The 20,928-nt window shown below is 43.0% G+C and overlaps 1 protein-coding gene across 18 annotated transcripts in view, besides 4 other annotated features; it reads left to right on the plus strand.

Moving 5' to 3' along the window:
* Window positions 1-3,861: 3,861 nt before the first annotated feature.
* The window catches only part of HHAT (hedgehog acyltransferase), a 348,963-nt gene continuing 331,896 nt past the window's right edge, over window positions 3,862-20,928 (plus strand). For 9 of the 18 annotated variants that reach the window (NM_018194.6, NM_001170588.3, NM_001170587.3 and 6 more), the window contains exon 1: window positions 5,436-5,638. Coding sequence is in view for 9 of the 18 variants with exons in the window: in NM_001170587.3 (NP_001164058.1) it covers window positions 5,545-5,638 (94 nt within the window). In the remaining 9 variants the exon portion in view is untranslated. The other 9 variants (XM_006711441.4, XM_047424805.1, XM_047424817.1 and 6 more) reach the window with 6 other exon arrangements.
* Window positions 4,609-4,778: an enhancer, noted in NCBI's record as "experimental_3009 CRE fragment used in MPRA reporter constructs". NCBI's record gives its function as "activates a minimal promoter by MPRAs in K562 erythroleukemia cells, with activity observed for both the introgressed and non-introgressed 1:210501504 variant alleles {active_cell/tissue: K562}" and the evidence as "EXISTENCE:reporter gene assay evidence [ECO:0000049][PMID:34662402]".
* Window positions 5,243-5,492: a silencer, noted in NCBI's record as "silent region_1779". NCBI's record gives its function as "represses an Ori minimal core promoter by ATAC-STARR-seq in GM12878 lymphoblastoid cells {active_cell/tissue: GM12878}" and the evidence as "EXISTENCE:reporter gene assay evidence [ECO:0000049][PMID:35858748]".
* Window positions 5,653-6,012: an enhancer, noted in NCBI's record as "active region_2478". NCBI's record gives its function as "activates an Ori minimal core promoter by ATAC-STARR-seq in GM12878 lymphoblastoid cells {active_cell/tissue: GM12878}" and the evidence as "EXISTENCE:reporter gene assay evidence [ECO:0000049][PMID:35858748]".
* Window positions 7,125-7,294: an enhancer, noted in NCBI's record as "experimental_3018 CRE fragment used in MPRA reporter constructs". NCBI's record gives its function as "activates a minimal promoter by MPRAs in K562 erythroleukemia cells, with activity observed for the introgressed 1:210504020 variant allele {active_cell/tissue: K562}" and the evidence as "EXISTENCE:reporter gene assay evidence [ECO:0000049][PMID:34662402]".

The raw sequence follows: 20,928 nt of genomic DNA on the forward strand, positions 1-20,928 counted from the left end.
AAGAATCCATAGATAGATAAATGGAAAAAATGTGTGACATACATACAATGGAATATTATCAGTTTTAAAAAGGAAGGAAATTCTGACGTGTTGGCTTAAAAAATCACACATTTTTTATACATTTAGAAAGGAGACTTTATTTCTTATAAAGGGTTACATCCTGCAGGGTGGCCATCTGACAGGCTGAGAAGTGTAGCCTCTGGTTTTTTAAAGCCATTCAGCCACTCTTATATCTTTTGATTGGAGAATTTAGTTCATTTACATTCAGTGTTATAATTGATAAGTAAGGACTTACTCCTGCCATTTTGTTATTTGTTTCTGGTTGTTTTGTGGTCTTCTCTTCCTTCTTTCCTTCCTGTCTTCCTTTTAGTGAAGGTGATTTTTTCTGGTGGTTATGTTTTAATTTCTTGCTTTTTATTTTTTATGTATCTGTTGTATGTTTTTGATTTGAGGTTACCATGAGGCTTGAAAATTATATCTTATAACCCATTATTTTAAACTGATTACAACTTAACACTGAGTGTGTAAACAAACAAGCAAGCAAAGAGAAAACTAATGAAAACTCTACATTTTAACTGGCTTACCCCACTTTTTAACTTTTTTGTTGTTTCTATTTATATCTTATTGTATTGTTTATGTCTTGAAAAGTTGTGGTAACTATTATTTTTAATTGCTTCCTCTTTTAGTCTTTTTACTCAAGATATGAGTAGTTTACACACCACAATTACTGTGTTAAAATATTCTGTGTTTTTCTGTGTATGTACTATTACCAGTGAGTTCTGCACCTTCAGATGATTTCTTATTGCTCATTAACGTCCTTTTCTTTCAGATTGAAGAACTCCCTTTGGCATTTCTTGTACAGGGCTGGTGTTGATGAAATCCTTCAGCTTTTGTTTGTCTGGAAAAGTCTTTATTTCTTTTATGTTTGAAGGATGTGGCTCGCTGAATAGACTATTCTAAGATAATTTTTTTTTCCTTCAGCACTTTAAACATGACATGCCACTCTCTCTTGGCCTGTAAGGTTTCCCCTGAAAAGTCTGCTGCCAGACGTATTGGTGCTCCATTGTATGGCATTTTTTATATTTTTTATTTTTTATTTTTTTATTTTTTTTTGAGACATAGTCTCATTCTGTTGCCCAGGCTGGAGTGATGCAATCTCAGCTCACTGCAACCTCTGCCAACCAGGTTTAAGTGATTCTCTTGCCTCAGCCTCCTGAGTAGCTGGGATTACAGGCACCCACTACCACACCTGGCTAATTTTGTATTTTTAGTAGAGACAGGGTTTCACTATGTTGGTCAGGCTAGTCTCAGACTCCTGACCTCAGGTGATCCACCTGCCTCAGCCTCCCAAAGTGTTGGGATTACAGGCGTGAGCCACTGTGCCCGGCCAGGAACCTTTCTTTATCCTTGAGCCTTGGGAGTTTGATTATTTAATGTCTTGAGGTAGTCTTATTTACGTTAAATCTGCTTGGTGTTTTATAACCTTCTTCTACTTGGATATTGATATTTCTCTAGGTTTGGGAAGTTCTCTGTTATTATCCCTTTGAATAAACTTTCTACCCCTATCTCTTTCTCAACCTCCTCTTTAAGGCCAGTAACTCTCAGATTTGCCTTTTGAGGCTATTTTCTAGATCTTGTAGGTGTACTTCATTTTTTAAAATTATTTTTTCTTTTGTCTCCTCCCACTGTGTATTTTCAAATAGCCTGCCTTCAAGCTCACTAATTCTTTCTTCTACTTGATCAATTCTGCTATTAAAGGATTCAGATGCATTCTTCAGCATATCAATTGTATTTTTCAGCTCCAGAATTTCGGGCTTAATTCTTTTCAATTATTTCATTTGCTTCATTAAATTTACCTGGTAGGATTCTGAATTCCATCTCATGTTTTCTTGAATTTCATTGAGTTTCTTCAAAAGAGCTATTTTGAATTCTCTGTCTGAAAGGTCACTCTGGGATTGATGCCTTATTTAGTTTGTTTGGTGATGTCATGTTTTCCTGGATGGTCTTGATGCTTGTGAATGTGTGTCAGTGTCTGGGCATTGAAGAGTTAGGTACTTATTGTAGTCTTCACAGGGTGGGCTTGTTTGTATTCATCCTTCTTGGGAAGGCTTTCCAGGTATTCTAAGGGACTTGGGTGTTGTCATTTAGGTTTGGGTCACTGCCATCATATCTGCATTAGAGGGCACCTCAAGCTCAGGAATGCTACGGCTCTTGCAGACTCAGAGGTACCACCTTAGTGGTCTTGCATAAGATCTGAGAGAATCTTTCCCCAGCTGCTGCTGTAGGATGAGGGAGGGGTAGCGTCTGCAATTCAAGACTGTCTTCTCTACGCTTTTCAGTGCCTCTTTCAGTGATATGAAGTTAAAACTTGGTACTGCAATGGCCCACTTGATCTTTGGTTCTTATTAAGGTGTTTTTTGTTGATAGTTGTTCATTTTGTTGTTCTTGAAGGGAGGACAATTGGTGGAAGCTTCTATTTGGCATCTTGCCCCACCTCCCTTAGATTTTGATAAATTTTAAGTTTTCATACTGCCAAATTGCTTACCCAACTAAACATTGTGTGTGAGTGCTATCACATAGCACCCATGCCAGGCTGTAATGTTATTTATTAATTTTTTGCCAACTTAATGTGTGAAAATTGTGTGTTCTTGTTTTTTTTTTTTTTTTTTTTTTTTTTGAGACGGGGTCTTGCTCAGTCACCCAGGCTGGAGTGCAGTGGCACGATCTCGGCTCACTGCAACCTCTGCCTCCCGGGTTCACGCCATTCTCCTGCCTCAGCCTCCCGAGTAGCTGGGACTACAGACACCCGCCACGATGCCTGGCTAATTTTGTTTTTGTATTTTTAGTAGAGACGGGGTTTCACCACGTTAGCCAGGATGGTCTTGATCTCCTGACTTCGTGATCCACCCACCTTGGCCTCCCAAAGTGCTGGGATTACAGGCGTGAGCCACCATGTTCTTGTTTTACTATGCATTTCATTGAGCTTTTTGCAATATATTTTTGTTTCCTACTTTTATTTCCCTCCTCCTTTTTCTAGTGGGTTGTCTATAAATGTGTCTTGCTCATCTATAATTGATTTCTAATGTTTTCTTATTGATTGTATTAACTCTATATATAATTTTAAAATTAACACTTTGCAAATTTCTTGCAAATATCCCAGTCTATTGCTTATCTTTAAATTTTGGCTATTATGGCCAAGCATGGTGGCTCACACCTGTAATCCCAGCACTTTGGGAGGCTGAGGCAGGTGCATCACTTGAGGCCAGGAGTTCGAGACCAGCCTGGCCAACAAGGCAAAACCCTGTCTCTACTAAATAGCCAGGTGTGGTGGCTGGTGCTTGCCTGTAATCCCAGCCACTCAGGTGGCTAAGGCACAAGAATTGCTTGAATCTGCAGTGAGCTGAGATCATGCCACTGTGCTTAGCCTGGGTGACACAGTGAGACTGTCTCTAATACATACATATATATATATATATATATATATATATATATACACACACACATAAATTTTGGCTATTTTTATTTGATGTTTCTGATTGCCTGTGTTTAAATCTGCCTTTATCTCCTTTGTGTTCGCCGGTGAATTTAAAGTGCATATGTAGACAGGGGTTAAGTGTAAATCACACTGAACCTATATTAACAACAGCATCTTTTAGAAATAATATAGGAGCTGTTATCACATCCCTGTCCCTGAGTTTGACACTACCTGAGTTGAGTTCTTATTCTGCCACTCCCTCTGCCAAACCCTTGGATCTAGAGTTGACAGATAAAATACCCAGTTAAGTTTGATTTTCAGATACCCAGGATGTAAATTTGAATTTCAGATATACCATTTTTTTTTTTTTTTTTTGGTAGAGATGGAGTTTCATCATGTTGGCCAGGCTGGTCTCGAACTCCTGGATTCAAGTTATCTACTCACCTCGACCTCCCAAAGTGCTGGGATTACAAGCTTCCTGTAAGTACTTAAAAAAAATAAGTATATCCCAAATATTGCATGGGTCATAGTGATACTAAAAAGTTACATATTGTTCACCTGAAATTATTTACTTATTTTTTTGAGACAGAGTCCGGCTCAGTCACCCAGGTTGGAGTGCAGTGGTGCGATCTGAGCTCACTGCAACCTCTGCCGCCCGGGTTCAAGCGATTCTCGTGCCTCAGCCTCCCAAGTGGCTGGGATTACAGGTGCAGGCCACCACACCCGGCTAATTTTTGTATTTTTAGTAGAGACGGGGTCTCACCATGTTGGCCAGGCTGGTCTCAAACTCCTGGCCTCAAGTGATCCTCCTGCTACCGCTCCTAAAGTGCTGAGATTACAGGCGTGGGCCACCGCGCCCAGCCTGAAATTCAATTTTAATTGAGTATGCTGTATTTTTATTTGCTAAATCTGGCACTCCTATTTGGGGCTAGTTTACTAACACCTGCTTACTGAACACCATCCAGTACCAGGTTTTGGGGTGAGTGGGTTGGGGGGAAGCAGAAAGAAAAGATAGCTCCAGCTCTTGGAGAGTTCATACTCTGGTTTCCTGGAGAATTCTAAAATCATTAAAATAATCCTCTCGACCATTACAATGACTGCTAGATGAAATTTCTGAGAGCACAGCTTCCGAGTTTCCCTGCTGCCTAGGGCAGAGTTATCCACCTTCACCTTATCATAGAACCACCTGAGACGCCCCTGCCATGGACAGTCTGATGCTTTTGGTTTGGGGAGGGATCCAGAAGCCCGAGGTTTTAATGAGAGCCACGTGATTCTGCTGAGATAAGTCTGGAGAACTCTGGCAAGCCTGTCTCTTGGCTCAGGCTTGGAGGCCTCCGAGCAGCAACATCGTCCCAATTATACCCCGTTGGAGCATCTTCAGATCTTCCACTCTTTTCACAACGCAATCAAAATCTTCGTACCCATTTTGCAGTAGTGATCTCTGTAAGTTGCTTTACAATTCATAAAGTTTATTCTATTTGATCTTCACTCTAATTTACAAAGAAAAGCAGGGAAGTCTATTTCTGTTTTACAGAGGTGTACAGGGAGGCTCACAGGGGCTAAGTTCACACAGTAAGCCCTCGAAGCTGCCAGGGCTGCAAAGCCCACCCTCTTTCCACCGCACCGAACTACCTCCTTTCGCCTACAAAACGTAGGTGGGGACCACTGGTGTTGGAATGACGGCCCACCTCGAGTTTCAGGTGACTTCCACTCTGCAATTAACTTGCAGGCAGCCCCAGACCTGCAATGAACACACGGGTGGGGGAGAGATATGCACGCCAGGGTCAGTGGGAACCAACAGCCGAGGGGTGAGCGGGGCTAGGGGCCCCGGGCCGCCGGCGGGGCAAACGCGGTTCAGAAACGCAGGCCGCGCTCTGGCCCGCCCCCTGCAGCAGCACGGCCTGCTCGCCATCGCCCGGAGAGCGCCGCGGGTTCCCGAGTCCGGGCGCGGAGGGCGCGCGGGCACGGCGGCAGGGGCGTGCTCGGAGGACGCGCGCTGCGCTGCTCCTCCAAAGGGCAGCTCCGGGGGAAAGAGGGTGGCGTCCCGGGGAAGCCCGCAGCCGCCGCCGATGTCGCTGGGACTCGGAAGTGCCGAAAGAGGGGTGTTGGGAACTCGCGGCGCGCGTGAACGTTGCCGTCGCCGCCGCCCGGGACAGCCCGGAGGTTGGTAACTGGTGACCATAGGGGGTCCTGGGGAGGTTAGATGCTGAATTTTCTGCGTCAGTTTACTCTGTTAAAAAAAAAATGCACAAAACGCTTTCCGTTTCCTACCCAAGTTCCCGTGTGCGCGCCCGAGGGCGGGACAGAGGAAGTTCCCGGTCGGGCGAAGAAGACAAAAGCGGCGGGGGCCGCGCGCGCAGTGCGCCCGGGCAAAGGCGGGGATCTAGGCGCCGGGACAAGTCCGCGCACGGCCCTGCCCACGTCCTCTCTCCTTGGCTTCGTCCCCAGCTTCCGGAACTGCTGCGGGGAGTTGCGAACTCTGGTCCTCTTGGCAGTATCGGCGGTGCGCCTGCCTGCCTGCTGTGACTCCAGGGACTCTAAAGTTAGAGACTTCCTTTGCGTTCTATCTTCAGGACTCAGTTTTCTTCCTCTGTTCTGAGTCTAACCTTCAGGTGGCAGGTCTTTATGCGGAAAAACCCTCCCGCTAATCCTCACCAGAGGTACTTTACGGGTAGCATTGGTGTTAAGAAATGTGCTGCTACCTGTGTACATTGCTCTTGGATCAGGGTTGTAGGGCTAGGGCATTTGGCATCCTCAGAGGTTTGCATTACGTGGGAGTGAGACATTGCTTCTCTTTCTGTTTTTGTTGTTGTTTGTGTTTTTGAGGCGGAGTTTCGCTCTGGTCGCCCAGGCTGGAGTGCAATGGCACAATCTCAGCTCACTGCAACCTCAGCATCCCGGTTTCAAGCGATTCTCCAGCCTTGCCTCCTGAGTAGCTGGGATTACAGGCATGCGCCACCACGCCCACCTAATTTTGTATTTTTAGTAGAGACGAGGGTCTCACCGTGTTGGCCAGGCTGGTCTCGAATTCCTGACCTCGGGTGATCTGCCCACCTCGACCTCCCAAAGTGCTGGGATTACAGGCGTGAGCCACCGTGCCTGGCATCTCATTCATTCTCAGAGCTAAGGACCTATTTCAATGTGATTAAGTGCTATGGGAATGCAAGGAGAGGAGAGGGAAGGCTTCATTGAAGAGGCGGTAGTTCATTGAAGGAGACTTTGAGGAATGATTTTTTTCCCCTTCCATTCCTCATGTTCCATTTTCCCTGTGATTTTTCTCCCTCCTTTCTCGTTGCCAGTCAGTCCCTAATTGTGATTGTTTGATAAGGACAGCTCTGACCTGAGAGATTCAATTAATGTTAATTTAAGGAGACTGTGTGCTTATTAGGTGCTTTAGATACATTATTTCTAAACCTTACAGTAACTGGGAAAGATAAGTGTTGTTATCTCTTTTCACAGTAGGATAGAGAAAGCCTTGGAGGGGAGCCAAAGCCACAAACTAGTACATGTCAGGGCCGGGTTTTGGACTCCTCTTTTGGATCAACGCCTGTGCTTTATCTACTGTTTACTTTGCCCCCTCCTTGGAAGTAGGTTAGATGGATGAACTTAGGGTGAAAGTCAATTCTTTGGAGGGAGCAGCCGTTTTTGTGGGTGGCCAGATGTTGGTGGGAGCTCTGTAGGTAGCATCAGGAACTTGCGAGCATGGGCCTTACCTGCACCCCCTGCTTCCAGCTTAGGACCTGGCCCAGGGGGAATGTTCCCTAAAGCAGTGGTCCCCAACCTTTTTGGCACCAAGGACCGGTTTCATGGACAATAAGTTTTTCATGGACTGGGGGAAGGGGGATGGTGTTGGGATAATTCAAGCACGTTACATTTATTTTATTTATTTGTTTTGAGACAAGAGTCTCGCTGGGTCACCCAGGCTGGAGTGCAGTGGCACGATACTGGCTCACTGCAACCTCCACCTCTGGGGATCAAGCAATTCTCGTGCCTCAGCCTCCGGAGTAGCTTACAGGCATGCGACACCACATCTGGCTAATTTTTGTATTTTTAGTAGAGACAGGATTTCACCATGTCAACCAGGCTGGTCTCAAATTCCTGAGCTCGAACTCCTGAGCTCAAGCCATCCTCTCCTTGGCCTCCCAAAGTGCTGGGATTACAGGTGTGAATCACCATGCCCCACCTGCATTACATTTATTGTGGACTTTATTTCTATTATTATTACATTGTAATATGAATACAACTCACCATAGAGTAGAATCAGTGGGACCCCTGAGCTTGTTTTTCTGCAACTAGGCAGTCCCATCTGGGGGGGTGTGTTGGTAGACATTGACACCCAAAGTGTGTTTGCTTATGTCCAGCCTACTTCATAGTCTCATTTTGGTTGCTGTCACTGCAGAAGACCCTGCTTCACAAAGATAGGATGTTGGAAATGGAAGCAGGCTTTTCGGTGCTTTTGTGGCAATTTCAGGATACTTTGCCTTGACTTTAATCCAGAATGTATGGATATTTGAAGTTGTCTTAAACATACTTCTAGGGCCCGGTCATTTGCTATCTCAAACAGTTGGTCCTCTTCTAGCATGGACAAAGTCAATTCACCTGGCTTATTCACAAATGGATCTAGGATCCTTCCCAGTTCGGGTGTCTTTTGTAGTTGGGAAGTAATGCTCAAACTCTTTTGAAAGCTGAGATAGGTGATCATGCACCAGCTGGGAGAGAGAAGGCCCTGGCTTAGTCTCTTTCAAAATCTCTGCTAATGTTTGAAACGTGTCAGAAATCCCAGTGTTCACTTGTCGCCGCAATAATTCCAGTTTGGTTTTGAGTGCAGCCACTTATCTGCCGACTTGAACACAGTTCTCCCCTGAAGGGACAGATGGAGTTCATTGAGGAGGTAAGCAAGTAAGCAAGTTTTGTAACCCCTTCTATGAAATGTGCTGCCAGTGGTGACTACTTTTCTAGAAGAAATCTCTGGAGTGGCCCTCATAACTCAAACTCCGGCCAGTGATCTATCTTTAGAAAGCCATCCCACTTCTGTGTATAAAAGATGTGTGTGCTCTATGTCCATCTCACAGAGCTGTGTGAACAGATGTGAGTTAAGGGCATGTACTTTAATGTGGTTGATAATTTTAATCACATCCTGCAAAATGTTCTTAAGTTCAGGTGACATTTTTTGGCTAGCCAACACTTCTCTATGGATGTCACAGTGCATAGACTCACATTCAGAAGTGACCTCTTTGGCCCGAGTAGTGAAACCAGTCGTAGCAGTCGCTCTGCCCAAGCACATACTACCCAAAAGGACCAATTCGGTTTTTCTGATAGGTAATCATTCAAAGACTTGAATAGTTGTGCAGCTGTGGTGTTGGTTAGCAACAAAAGTGCAAGTGACATATCCTCGTGCACCTAACATCTTCATGTATATCCTCCTGAAAACTGTATCACAAAAAAACAAGCATTGTTGCCTTGTCAACACTGGTAGACTAGTCAACCCAGATTGCGTACCGCAGTGACTCATTAATCCTCTCTACCAATTGTGCCTCAATATCCGCTGCTATTTCAATTCGCCTAGTTTACTCTTCACCAATAGTAAAGGGCTTCTTAGCTTTAGCAATACGGTTAGCCACTAAGAATGATACTCTCATTGCAGACACATTTGATGAAATGGTAGCCTTCAATAATTGCTTCTGTTCTTTGTGCTTATGTTTTTTCTTTTGAAAAACTCCGAAGCCTTGTCTTTTAATGCAGGGTGCTTGGTCTCCATGTGGTGAAGCAGTTTTGAAGGTTTCATGGCTTCATTGGATAGCCAGTGGCCACATATTACACAAAGTGGGCTTGGAGAATGTGAGTCACCTGTTGCAATGAACCTGTAATTTGAGTATGACTCCTGGTATTTTCTTTTAAATGCAGCTTGCTTTTTGTTGGCAATCTTACAGTCTTCTGTCTCATCATTGGGTCTTCCCCCTTTTCAAAGAAGCTTACCAGTGATGTTTGTTTTTTACTCATTTCGGCTAGGGTTAGCTTGTGGGCTTACCAAAACTGTGACTGAGACAAATGTGCAGTGCAGGAAACAGGCACACCTGGAAGTGGTAAATAATGGGCGGGCCATGAGTGGACTAAAATAAGTGTCGGATTCTGACTGAAAGCCTGCCCACAGATGCAGCTGTACGATGGAAGTACATCAACTCACTTGCCACTATAAAGCCTGCCACCAGGCAGCATTAAGCTACTTGTTACTTGACACTCACTGATAGGATTTTGATATGAGTCTGCAAGCAATTGATTTATTATGGTCTCTGTGTAGTCAAACCTCCCTCTTAATGCTAATTTGTATTTGCAGCCACTCCCCAGTGCTAGCATCACTTGTAGTCCCAACTACTTGGGAGGCTGAGGAGGAAGGATCACTTGAGCCCAGGAGGTCAAGGCTGCAGTGAGCTATGATCAGGCCACTGCACTCTAGCCTGCATGACAGAGTGAGACCCTGTCTCTTAAAAAATAATAATAAAATGAAAAAACTAAAAAAGCTCCAAATGTATGAGTATATGTACTTCTTTATCAATGCAGTAAGTAACAAAATTCAGTGCAGTAGCAAGTAACTCCTGTAATTTCAAAGTAGTGATGCCCATGTAAATGGTATTTTGTAGTATTTTCAAAGGCTACACAGTAGTATGAAAGTATCTGACTTTTACTGGTGACATTCGTCAGAGCTGCTTTTACTACTATGATTTTTTTTTTTTTCTGAGACAGCGTCTCACTATGTCACACAGGATGGAGTGCAGTGGCATGATCTCGGCTCACTGCAACCTTCGCCTCCCGAGTTCAAGCAATTCTCATGCCTCACCCACCCCAGTAGCTGGGATTACAGATGTTCACCACCGTGCCTGGCTAATTTTGTAGTTTTAGTAGAGACAGGGTTTTGCCATGTTGGCCAGGCTGGTCTTGAACTCCTGGCTTGAAGTGATCTGCCCACCTTGGCCTCCCAAAGTGCTGGAATTACAGGTGTGAGCCATTACATCTGGCTGGAACTGCTCTTACTACTGTGAGTCGTTGTCCACATCTATAATCCAATGAAATGCTAATTTTCAGCCAGAAATTCATGAAAATAAAGATATTTGAGCTCATGTCCCCCTGAATTCTCTCTATGGACACCTTGGGAGTGGAGGGCTGGGGATCCTGGGTTACATACAACCCTACTTAGTGGTTGTTTTTCATCTAAGTACTTGCTGGCCACTTTAGCGTGTCATTTTTTTTTTTTTTTTTTTTGAGAAAGGGTCTTCCTGTGTTTCCCAGGCTGGATCACAGCTCACTGCAGCCTCAACTTCCCAGGCTCCCACCTCAGCCTGCTGAGCAGCTGGGGCTACTGGCATGCAACACCATTCCTGGCTAATTTTTGTATTTTTAGCAGAGAAGGGATTTCGCCATGTCGCCCAGGCTGGTCTCAAACTCCTGGGCTCAAGTCGTCTGCCCACCTCAGCCTCCCAAAATGGTGGGATTACAGGCATGAGCCACCACACCCAGCCTGTTAGTGCATTACTGATAGCAGTTTCCTTCTCCTTCAGTTAGTTTTCCCCTTTTTAGCCCGGGTTCACAGTTGTTTCTGTTTGATGAAAGCTTTTGAGAGGGGATTGCTGGATTGTTTATATAATCTACCTGCCCTGCTCCTTCTGTGGGTAATATGGTTGGAGAATATTCCTGAAATAGTGGATGTATGTCATATAGTGTATACACCCTACCTTTTTATTTTTTTATTTTTATTTTTATTTTTTTTTTTGCGAATAGAAATGAACCTTAGTGGTAGATGATGTTATTAGTGTCAGGGAAGAAAAATGAACTACTATCACATATCCCACAGACAGAAGCTCTTAAGATGTTATGAACGATTTCATGGTAATACATTTGAAAATTCAGATGAAATTGACAGGTTTTTCCAATAAAATATATTACCAAAGACACAAAAACTAGAAAAAATGAGTAGTCCTATATCTACCAAAAACATTGAATTTGTAGTTAAAAACCTTTCCATAGCAAAATTTTCAGGCCCAGATGGCTTTACTAGTGAAACTTCCAAACATTTAAGAAAATTAAAGAGGAACCACTTTCCGGTTGCATTTATGAGGCCAGCACAATCTTGTTACTAAAAATTGATAAGGATATTACAAGAAAATTATAGGCCAAATGCTCATAAAGACAGACACATAAGTCTTAAATATGGTAAGTCAAATCTAGCAATCTATAAAAAGGATAATAAATCATGACCAAGTTGGATTTATTTCAGGAATGTAAACTTTGGCTAACACTACGAAAGTCAACAAATGCAATTTAACTCCATATATGAAGTAAAGGAGAAAAAGTATTTGATACAACTCAGCACCCATTCATGATGAAAAAAAAAAAAGCCTCTTTGCAAGCTGGAGCATTGAGAGAAATTAGATTTAAAATAACAGAGGGTAAGGTATTGCTCTGCAAATCTATAGATTCGGGCCAATCCCAATCAAAATCCCGGCAAATTTTTTCTTCAAAAATAGGTGATAAGCAGATTGGAAATTTATTTGGAAATTCTAGACAGTCTTAAGAGCAAAACTGGAGGACCTAAGCTACTAGATCAATATGTAGTCATGTCAGTGTGGTATTGCATAAAGCTACACAGATTATGGAACTGAGTAAAGAATCCATAAACAGGCTTATACATCTGTGGTCTTTTGATTTATGACAGAGGCAACACTGCAGGGCAGTGGAGAGAAGATGGTCTTCTCAGTAAATGACACTGGGTCGATTGACTATCCACATAGACAAAATGAATCTAGATCATGTACCTCATCTCATATACAAAAATTAATCAAGATAACAACATACACCTAAATGTGAACGCTAAAACAAAGCACCTGGAAGAAAGCAAAGTAAAATATCTTTATGACCTAGGGACAAGGTTTCTTGAATAGGCCACAAAAAGCACTAATTGGTACAGTGATAAGAATGAACAAATTATTGCCTCACATAACATGGATGAATCTTGTGACACAAAGCTGAGCAAAACCAAGATAGATGTAAAAGAGTAAATGCAATGTGATTCCATTGATGTAAAGTTCAAAACCAGACAACTAAATAAACCATGGTGGTAGAAGTTAGGCTAGTGGTCATCTTTGATGGAGTTAGTGACTAGGAAAGGGCAGAAGGGGCTTCTGAGGCATTCTTTTGTTTTTTGGAGACAGGATCTCGCTCTGTCACCCAGGCGGGAGTGCAGTGGTGTGATCTCAGCTCACTGCAACCTCCCTGACCTGGGCTCAAGCGATCCTGTCACTGCAGCCCACCTGAGTAGCTGGGACTACAGGCATGCACCACTGTGCCTGGCTAATTTTTTTTTTTTTTTTTTTTTTTAGAGACAGGGTCTTACCATGTTGCCCAGGCTGGTCTTGAACCCCTAGGCTCAAGTAGTCTACCCATCTCCTCCTCTCAAAGTGCTAGAATTACAGATGTGAGCCACTGCCTCTGGCCTGGCGTGCAGTTTTTATCTCAGTGACAATTACTTGGTAATTACATAAGGCTTTCCACTTCTTGAAAGCCCTAAGGGCTGGGCATGATGGCTCATTCCTGTAATCCCAGCACTTTGGGAGGCTGAGGAGGGAGGATCACTTGAGGCCAGGAGTTTGAGATCAGCCTGGCCAACATAGCAAGATCCTGTCTCTAAACAAGACTAAAAAATTAGCAGGGGGTGGTGATGCGAGCCTGCAATCCCAGCTACTCCTGAAGCTAAGGCAGGAGGATCTCTTGAGCCCAGGAATTTGAGGCTGCAATGAGCTATGATCATGCCATGCACTGTAGTCTGGGTGACAGAGTGAGACCCTGTTTAAGAAAAAAATAAAAAATAAGAAAAAGGAAGCCTTAAGGTTTTTTCTTCATTTAAGTGTATTGTAATAAAGTTTACTTAAAATCTTGTAAAAAGTTAGGTTCATTCTGATGCTCCCAGGCTGGGGAGTGTAAGATGTGGTGGGCACAAGCCTTGCTGATTAAAAAGGCTTAAAATAGGTTGAGAATTTTCAGGGGAAAGAATGCAATATCACATCAGTAGCTTTTTTTTGAATTAGGGACTTATATAATTGACTCCCTTTTGCCAATCTTTAATGGCAGAGATCTGGCTTGAGGGAATTTCATATAAAAAGACTTAGAGTTATGTTTGATTATAAGATTGATATCAGTGTGGGGGGAAATTAGAAAAGCTAAGGGAGTATTAAGTAGAAATTTTTGTTTTCAGATTTAATTTTCTTCCAATTTAAGTTTTGAAAGTTTATGACCACTGGATTAAAAAACTTTTCTTCCAATTTAAGTTTTAAAAGTTTATGACCATTGGATTAAAAAACAATCTGTTTTCTATAAATCCTTTCAGTTAGGTACTTTCCTCCCATAAGGCCATGAACTAACTGAGGGCAGGGATGGCATATGAGTTTCCTATTAAACCTGAACTAAATTAACACAAATTCAGTGGCTTCAAAAAACACACATTTATTACCTTATGGTTCTGGATGTCAGAAGTCCAAAATGGGTCAGCAGGGTTCATTTGTTCTGAAGGTTCTAGGGAACAATCTTTTTGTTGTCGTTGCCTTTTCCAGCCTCTAGATGACTCTTAGATTCCTTCATCCAGGAGCCCCTCCTCCATCTTCCAAGCACACCACTCTAACCTCTGCCTCCATCATCACCTCACATTTCCTCTCTGTCTCTGACCCTTCAGCTTCCCTCCTGTAAGGAACCTTGTGATTACTTTGGGCCCACCCAGATAATCCAGGCTAATCTCTCAATCAGAAGATCCTTAATCATATTGGCAAAATCCCTTTTGCTGTGTAAGGCAACATAGTCACGGTTCCAGGGTTGAGGACATGGACACTTCTAGGGGACCCATCTTTGGTGGACCCCACAGAGGGGATCTATTTTGTCTTCACAAAGAGCACACTTCCTGGTTGTCAGTAGAAGTTCATTCGTATTTGTTGAATGAAGACATGGGTCTAAGATATTATTTGAGTGCAGTTTCTGAAAGAAAAGTGATGGTCTTGTCCTCCTCTCACTGACACAATTGGAGCTTTGGGTTCAGTTTTAGGTAAATGTACTATACAGAGTCAACTGACAGGCAGAGGATCTGGGGACAGGCATGGTGGCTCATGTTTGTAATCCCAGCACTTTGGGAGGTGTAGGTGGGAAGATCACTTGAGTCCAGGAGTTCAAGACCAGCCTGGGCAACATAGTGAGACCCGCCCCCATTTAAAAAAAAAAATGGGTGTAGTGGCTCTTGTCTATAGTCCCAGCTACTCGGGAGGCTGAGATGGAAGGATTGCTTGAGCCTGGGAAGTTGAGGCTGCAGTAAGCCAAGATTGTGCCACTGCATTCCAGCCTGAACAACAGAGAGTGAGACCTTGTTTCAAAAAGGAGCCTGGAACCAAGTCATTGAAGTAATGGTTGAAGGAATCATAGATGTTGGTCTGGAAGAGGGTTTGGATGGAGTAGATGGCATTAATTATCTTTAAACATTTGAACGAGTATTATTGGAAAGAATAAAAAAGCCTTTTTAAGCATACTCAATAATAGTAATAGCATTAAAAACAACAAAAATAAGCATTTCAGAGTTTACTATGCCTAAGGCACTGTTTTATCATTTTATAAATTCACTTAATCCTCATATCAATCTTCTGAGGTTCGCTATTACTGTGTTTTACAGATAAGGAAATTGAGGCTCAGAGAGGTTGTGCACCTTGTCCTAGGTCACACAACCATGAAGCAGCAAAGCTGGAATTCAATCTTTGGCATTCTGACTCCAGAGCCACCCCTGAAACCATATCACACTATGCTGTCTCCATGCCTTTAGTTCCAGAAGGTAGAAGAGGACTGGTGGCAGAAGAAATCCACCCCTGTATTTTTTTAGAAATCTGTATTTTTTAGAAATACGGGGTAGATTTCAAGGAAAAACACAACAATCAGAACTGCTAGCCAGGCACAGTGGTGTGCACCTGGGAGGCTGAGGCAGGAGGATCACTTGAGCCCAGGAGTTAGAGCTGTTTGGAGCTGCAATGAGCTATGATCACGCCACTGCATTCCAGCCTGGGTGACAGAGTGGGACCCTGTCTCAAAACAAAAACAACAACAAAAGCAAGAACTGCTTAGGAACAGAGTTTCTCTGCCTTGTAATGTTACTGGAAATGGTCAAGTAGGCTGTTATAAAAGGAATTCCCAAACTGGCTGGAGATGAGACCAAAAGGCAATAGAGACTCCACTGATTTTGAAATTCTGATTTGGGAACATATTTTTTTTCCATTACATATATAAGAAGGTAGGGAACAACCTTTGTGACATTTTATGTAATAAAGATCCATTGTGAAAGGTAGCTTTTCAACTAATTTTCCAGATTTTATTGATTAGTAACTATTTATAATATACCTGGTGTGCTAGATGTGTGCCCACCCCTTTCTAAGGTACCCTTGCTGCTCCTCCCATAAAGAAGTATGGTCTGTTTTCTCCTCCTTGAATCCGGGCTGGTCTTTGGACTTGCTTTGACCAATAATGTGTTCTGTGAACTCTGGAGCCTGGTCCTTAAGGGATGTTGCACCTCTTGCCTCTGTTCTTTTGGAACCCTGAAACCCCACTGCTGTGAAAAAGCCAAGTCTAGCCTACCAGAGGAGGAGCCCTGGCCTGGGGGAGAAGGGAGGTGACTTGTGTGAGCTGGCGCCAAATGCCAGACATGTGCATGAGGTCATCATGGCCCCCTCCAGCCCCAGTGGAGTTGTGTGGTGACAGAAGTCACATGAGTGACCTCAGGAGGGACATGAACAGAACTGTCCAGACTGCCATCCCACAAAATCCTTAAAAAGAATAAATGTTCATTGTTCTAAGGCATCACATGTTGTGATGGTTTCTTATGCAGCAATACATAACTAATACATAATATGTTGGTGCGGATGTGGAAGTAGTGGGTATATATTTTAAACTATTCTGTAATTAGACTTTTTTCCCCACTCCAGTGCACCTCTTCCAGTCTATCTAGTCATTCTTCTGTGTTGGTGAAACCTTTCTGGGTTTGGAGAAGTGTTTCCTCTTAGTATTATGTGGGTTGAAGAATAAGTCTTTGTAAGACTCTTAAATGGGGACTGGGCACAGTGGCCCACACCTGTAATTCCAGCAGTTTGGGAGGCTGCGGCGGGAGGATCACTCGAGGCCAGGAGTTCAAGACCAGCCTGGGCAACATGGCAAAACCCAGTCTCTACTAAAAACACAAAAATTAGTGGGGCAGCACACTCCGGCCTGGGGGATAGAGCAAGACTCTGTCTCAGAAAAAAAAAAAAAAAAAAAAAAAAAAGACTCAAGTGGGGTTTGGAGAGAATTGTGATATGGGAATCTGGACTTGGTGGTTTTCTTGGAGAAAATCATGTAATTTAGAGTCTACAAAATGGGATTCAGTTTCATGAAAATTGGACCCTGGAAAAGGCAAAAGTCTCATACCACTTTTTCCGAATATGCTAGAATATTGCACTACTATTTCATTTTCTTTAAAGCCGTTGTCATTTCAGTGGGCATGTGCTTCTTTCACTTTTATTGCTTGTGGTTTCCAGAGTGCTCATTTGTTCCTGAATTTAGAGCTATTTCAATTTTACTCTTATCTCTGCATAACTGCTGACTTTCCCCTCTTATTTCCAAGGTAAATCGGTTAGGTTTAGTTTGCCTTTTTCAGTAAATCTTTTAAGGAATGTATGTGAGTTAGATATTTCATGTGTATTTTGATTACATTTTATTGATTTAAATTTTTTTATCAGAGAGTGTCTAACGTTATGCATAACGTTTAAAAATTCTATTACATTTAGACCACTTATATTCTAGCTTTCCTAATGGATTGATTTCATTATAGATTTTGGAAAAAATGAGTCCAGTACACTCTGTAAGAATAGTGAGGTGGCTGAGGGAAGGCTCTGGAGTTAGACTTACTGGGTATGAATCTAAGCTTTGCTGCTTACCAGCTGTGTGATTTGGGGCGGGTTTACTTATCCTTTCTGGGCCTTGGTTTCCTCTTGTGTTAAGTGAGGTTATCAGAAGCACCAACCTCAAAGGTTTGTTATGAAGATTAAGTGAGATAATACTTGTAAAGTGCCTTTTCAGCATAGGAAATCTGTAAATAGTACTTGTTATAGTACAGCTATTACTAAAGCATAAGAAAACTCAGTAGAGGGAAATCTTCATTTAGGACATTAAGCAGTGAGTCAGTAGAAGTGACGATGGTGATGCTGGTATGGAGGGATTGTTAGCTTAATGATGAGAGCTGTCTTGTTAAAGTTCTCTGGTGCATGTGAGTATTGGGTTATAGCCCATTTAGTGCTTGATATCAAGATTTAAAAGCAGAAAAAATTTAAAATGGAAGTGTTGGAATCCATTAGTTGCCTGCATCAGAAGTAAAGCTAAAGTATTTTTGAAATGATATTGGAAGTTGCTGGGGGAAAAGCATCTTGCAGCCGTTATGTTTATGTATGTTTCAGGCTTTGGCAAGGTGTGCTGTACTTTTCTTCCAAGATCAAGGAACAGGATTTCTGCCTGTATGACAGTGGGGGTTGGGAATTTTGGTTCTAATTTTTGCTCCATTGCTGGCTTCTCTGTCCGTGGGTAGATCGCTGCTTCTTCCTGAGCAGGATTCTGATTCCTGAAAGGGACCTAAAAACTTAGCCCTCCTGAGAGGATCCGAGTAGATGGCATCTTTGAAAGCAGGTGGAGTGTTAAATTCCAAAGTAAATGCAAATGCAAGTGGCTCCAGTATAGAAAAAGTTCTGTGAGCTGAGAGATTCTTGCCATTTTACAGCTAAGATTTTATTCTGTGGCCCTCTTGAGTTCTATAATTCCCAGATAAATATATTTTTTGAAATATTCAACCTTGGGGTGTTTGTACCCAATTTGGAGGTGGAGAAAGCTCCCTATTCCTCCAGTCTGAATTCCTTCCCTCTGATTCCAGGGAAAACTTTGCTATGATTTCCTTTAACATCTAGTATTAAATGCACGTTCTACCGCTTTGTCCTCACTTGCCTCAAAATTCTCACTCTTTTCAACAACATTTAGCTTCAAGATCCTGTTGTCTTACAGCTTTGGAGTTGCTGTTTTATCTTCTTCATCTTCCTCTTTTTTCCCCCTACCAGCTTCTGGACTATTTTGATGCCAAGGACAACTCAATTTTTCCCCATCTGTGTGGCTTGGTTCCAGCACTCTCTCCACTTTCACTAAGGGCCTAAATCATCAACCTCCCTGCCTCTTGGGTCTACCACAGCATCAAGGGGCTGCTTTGTAGAGCTTCATTCAAATAATTTTATGTACTGGCTTGCAAGCCTGAGGTTTCTGCAGGAAATAAAATTTAAACATGAAATCGTATGTTTTAAGACTCCTTACCACTTGGCTCCTGTTCTCCCTTCCCTGAACCATCCACACTTTATCTTCTTTACAGTTCCGACCAGTATTCCCACACTGGGGAAGTGTTCTTAGACACATCTCACCATCACACATCCCTACAACCCTCCTTCACTATTACATATCAATAGTGCAATCTCATTTGTGTAGATTAATCAGGTAGACTGCTACTTAAACACAGGCTGTGTCCCTATAGATTGGCCGTTTTCTATAGAAATGATGCTGTAAGTGGTGATGACTTTTCTAGGCTATCTCACAGCTACCCACTTAGCTGATAATGTTGGTGCAGGACTGACTGCATGAAAACAGAAAAGAAACATCACTTACACATTTGAGTAAGAACCTCCTTGATTTCAGCCTGATTGCTCTGCCTAAAGAGGGACATGCTTGTTTAGAGTATGAGAAATGGAAACTTGGTAATTTTGTGAGAGAGTTTTTGGGAACCTCTAAGGGCCTGGACATTTTAAAAAGGTTCCAGTTATATTCCCAAATATATAGTTTTCCTTTTCTTTTACATTGTGTCATAAATCCCTTAAGACATATCTACTCTGATTTACTTTCTGGCTGCACAGCTGAAATAAACAGGGAAAACAAAGTAGGGAAATAATTTTCCTAAGATAAGTGGGCGAGTGTTGAAGGCCGAAAGAATGAGGGTCGTGATCAACTCAGTATACCACTGGAGACTATATGAGTAAACAGCAAACTGTTTCTCATGAAAGCAGGTTGTTGGCAAACTGACAAACTGTGTCTGCCTCCCAGAAAGAATGCTGGGGGGCAGTCACCACCCAGGCACAGTGTTTCTTGTGATTAGGCAAATCTGAAGCCTGTTAGCAATAACGTGAACCTGTGATCAATCAAGCAGCTGACCAGTCATTACCTCCTCCTCCCTGCTCTTTCTGCCCAATAAAAACAAAGGGCTGTAGAAGCTCGAGGTTGCTGCCTTTGCTCCCTAGAAGCAGGGAGCTCTCTTCTTCCCCTGGCCCCTTCCTTTAAAATAGTTACTTTTAAGTTTTCATTTCTGCCTTCGTCCTCCTTCCTTCAGTCTCCTAATGACTGTCTCAAGTAGTAACAGTAGTGACTGTCGTAGTGACAGTCTCAAATAGTAACCATTGCAGTCAGCTACAGGCAAGAGTTGAAAAGAGAGTGTGTGAGGAAGAAAGCTCTGTTAAGGAGGATGGGTGAGTGTCTGTGTGGTGGTGGTGTTTCGAGGTGGCATTCGTGTAATGGAGAGGTGAAAATGAAAGTGGAAAGTACTGCCTGTCATTCCCTTGGGAGTAGCAGAGACGTAGGTGGTGAGGAAGAGGCACCGGGCTGAAAGCCTGCGGGTGGTCCCCGGGGATAGTTTGCTTGCTGTCCAGGGTGGCTTTGGATTGGGCGTCAGAAGAGGAATGAGACATTAACGAAATCCCTGGGGATGCCAACTTCCTGAAAGAGGTCCAGATGCACGTAGGATGGGCATACCCCAGGAAGTTCAGCCAGATTTCTTTGATTCAGGGAGAAAATCAGGGTCAGGGCTTAGGTAGGCTCCTGATGAGTGAAATTCACTAACTAGTAACTACTAATGTTTGTTGAGTGCTTATTCACTGCCAGGCCCTGGGCTAAGCATTTTACATTTAACCCCTTCAACAACCCTATAAGAAAACATCTGGGAGGCCGTTATCTACCCGTTTCCTTAACCAATAAATGACACAGCCTGGGACTCTCCCTGCACCAGCCCACCCCTCCTCCCTGAACCCCACAGGTGGGTTTGGTGCCAGAATGTATCACTGTGCTGTCAAGTGGAGACTATTTGGTTCAATTCCTAAATTTTGGGGGTGAGGGGACAGCTAGTTTCCCTGCTTAGTTACCTGGTGTTTTGCCGCTAGTTACTATGTATCTCTGTGTATTTGTCTACAAAACATAGAGCATTGTTGAAACTATGTTATTGTTTCATTGAAACAATGTTATTGTTTCCTTATACCACTGAGTAGAAGAAAATGGAGTTTCTGCTGGGGCCACTGTCTGTGGAGTTTGCACATTCTCGCTATGTCTGCAGGGGTTTTCTC

The sequence above is a fragment of the Homo sapiens genome, chromosome 1 (genome assembly GCF_000001405.40).
Source record: "Homo sapiens chromosome 1, GRCh38.p14 Primary Assembly".
NCBI lineage: Eukaryota > Metazoa > Chordata > Mammalia > Primates > Hominidae > Homo > Homo sapiens.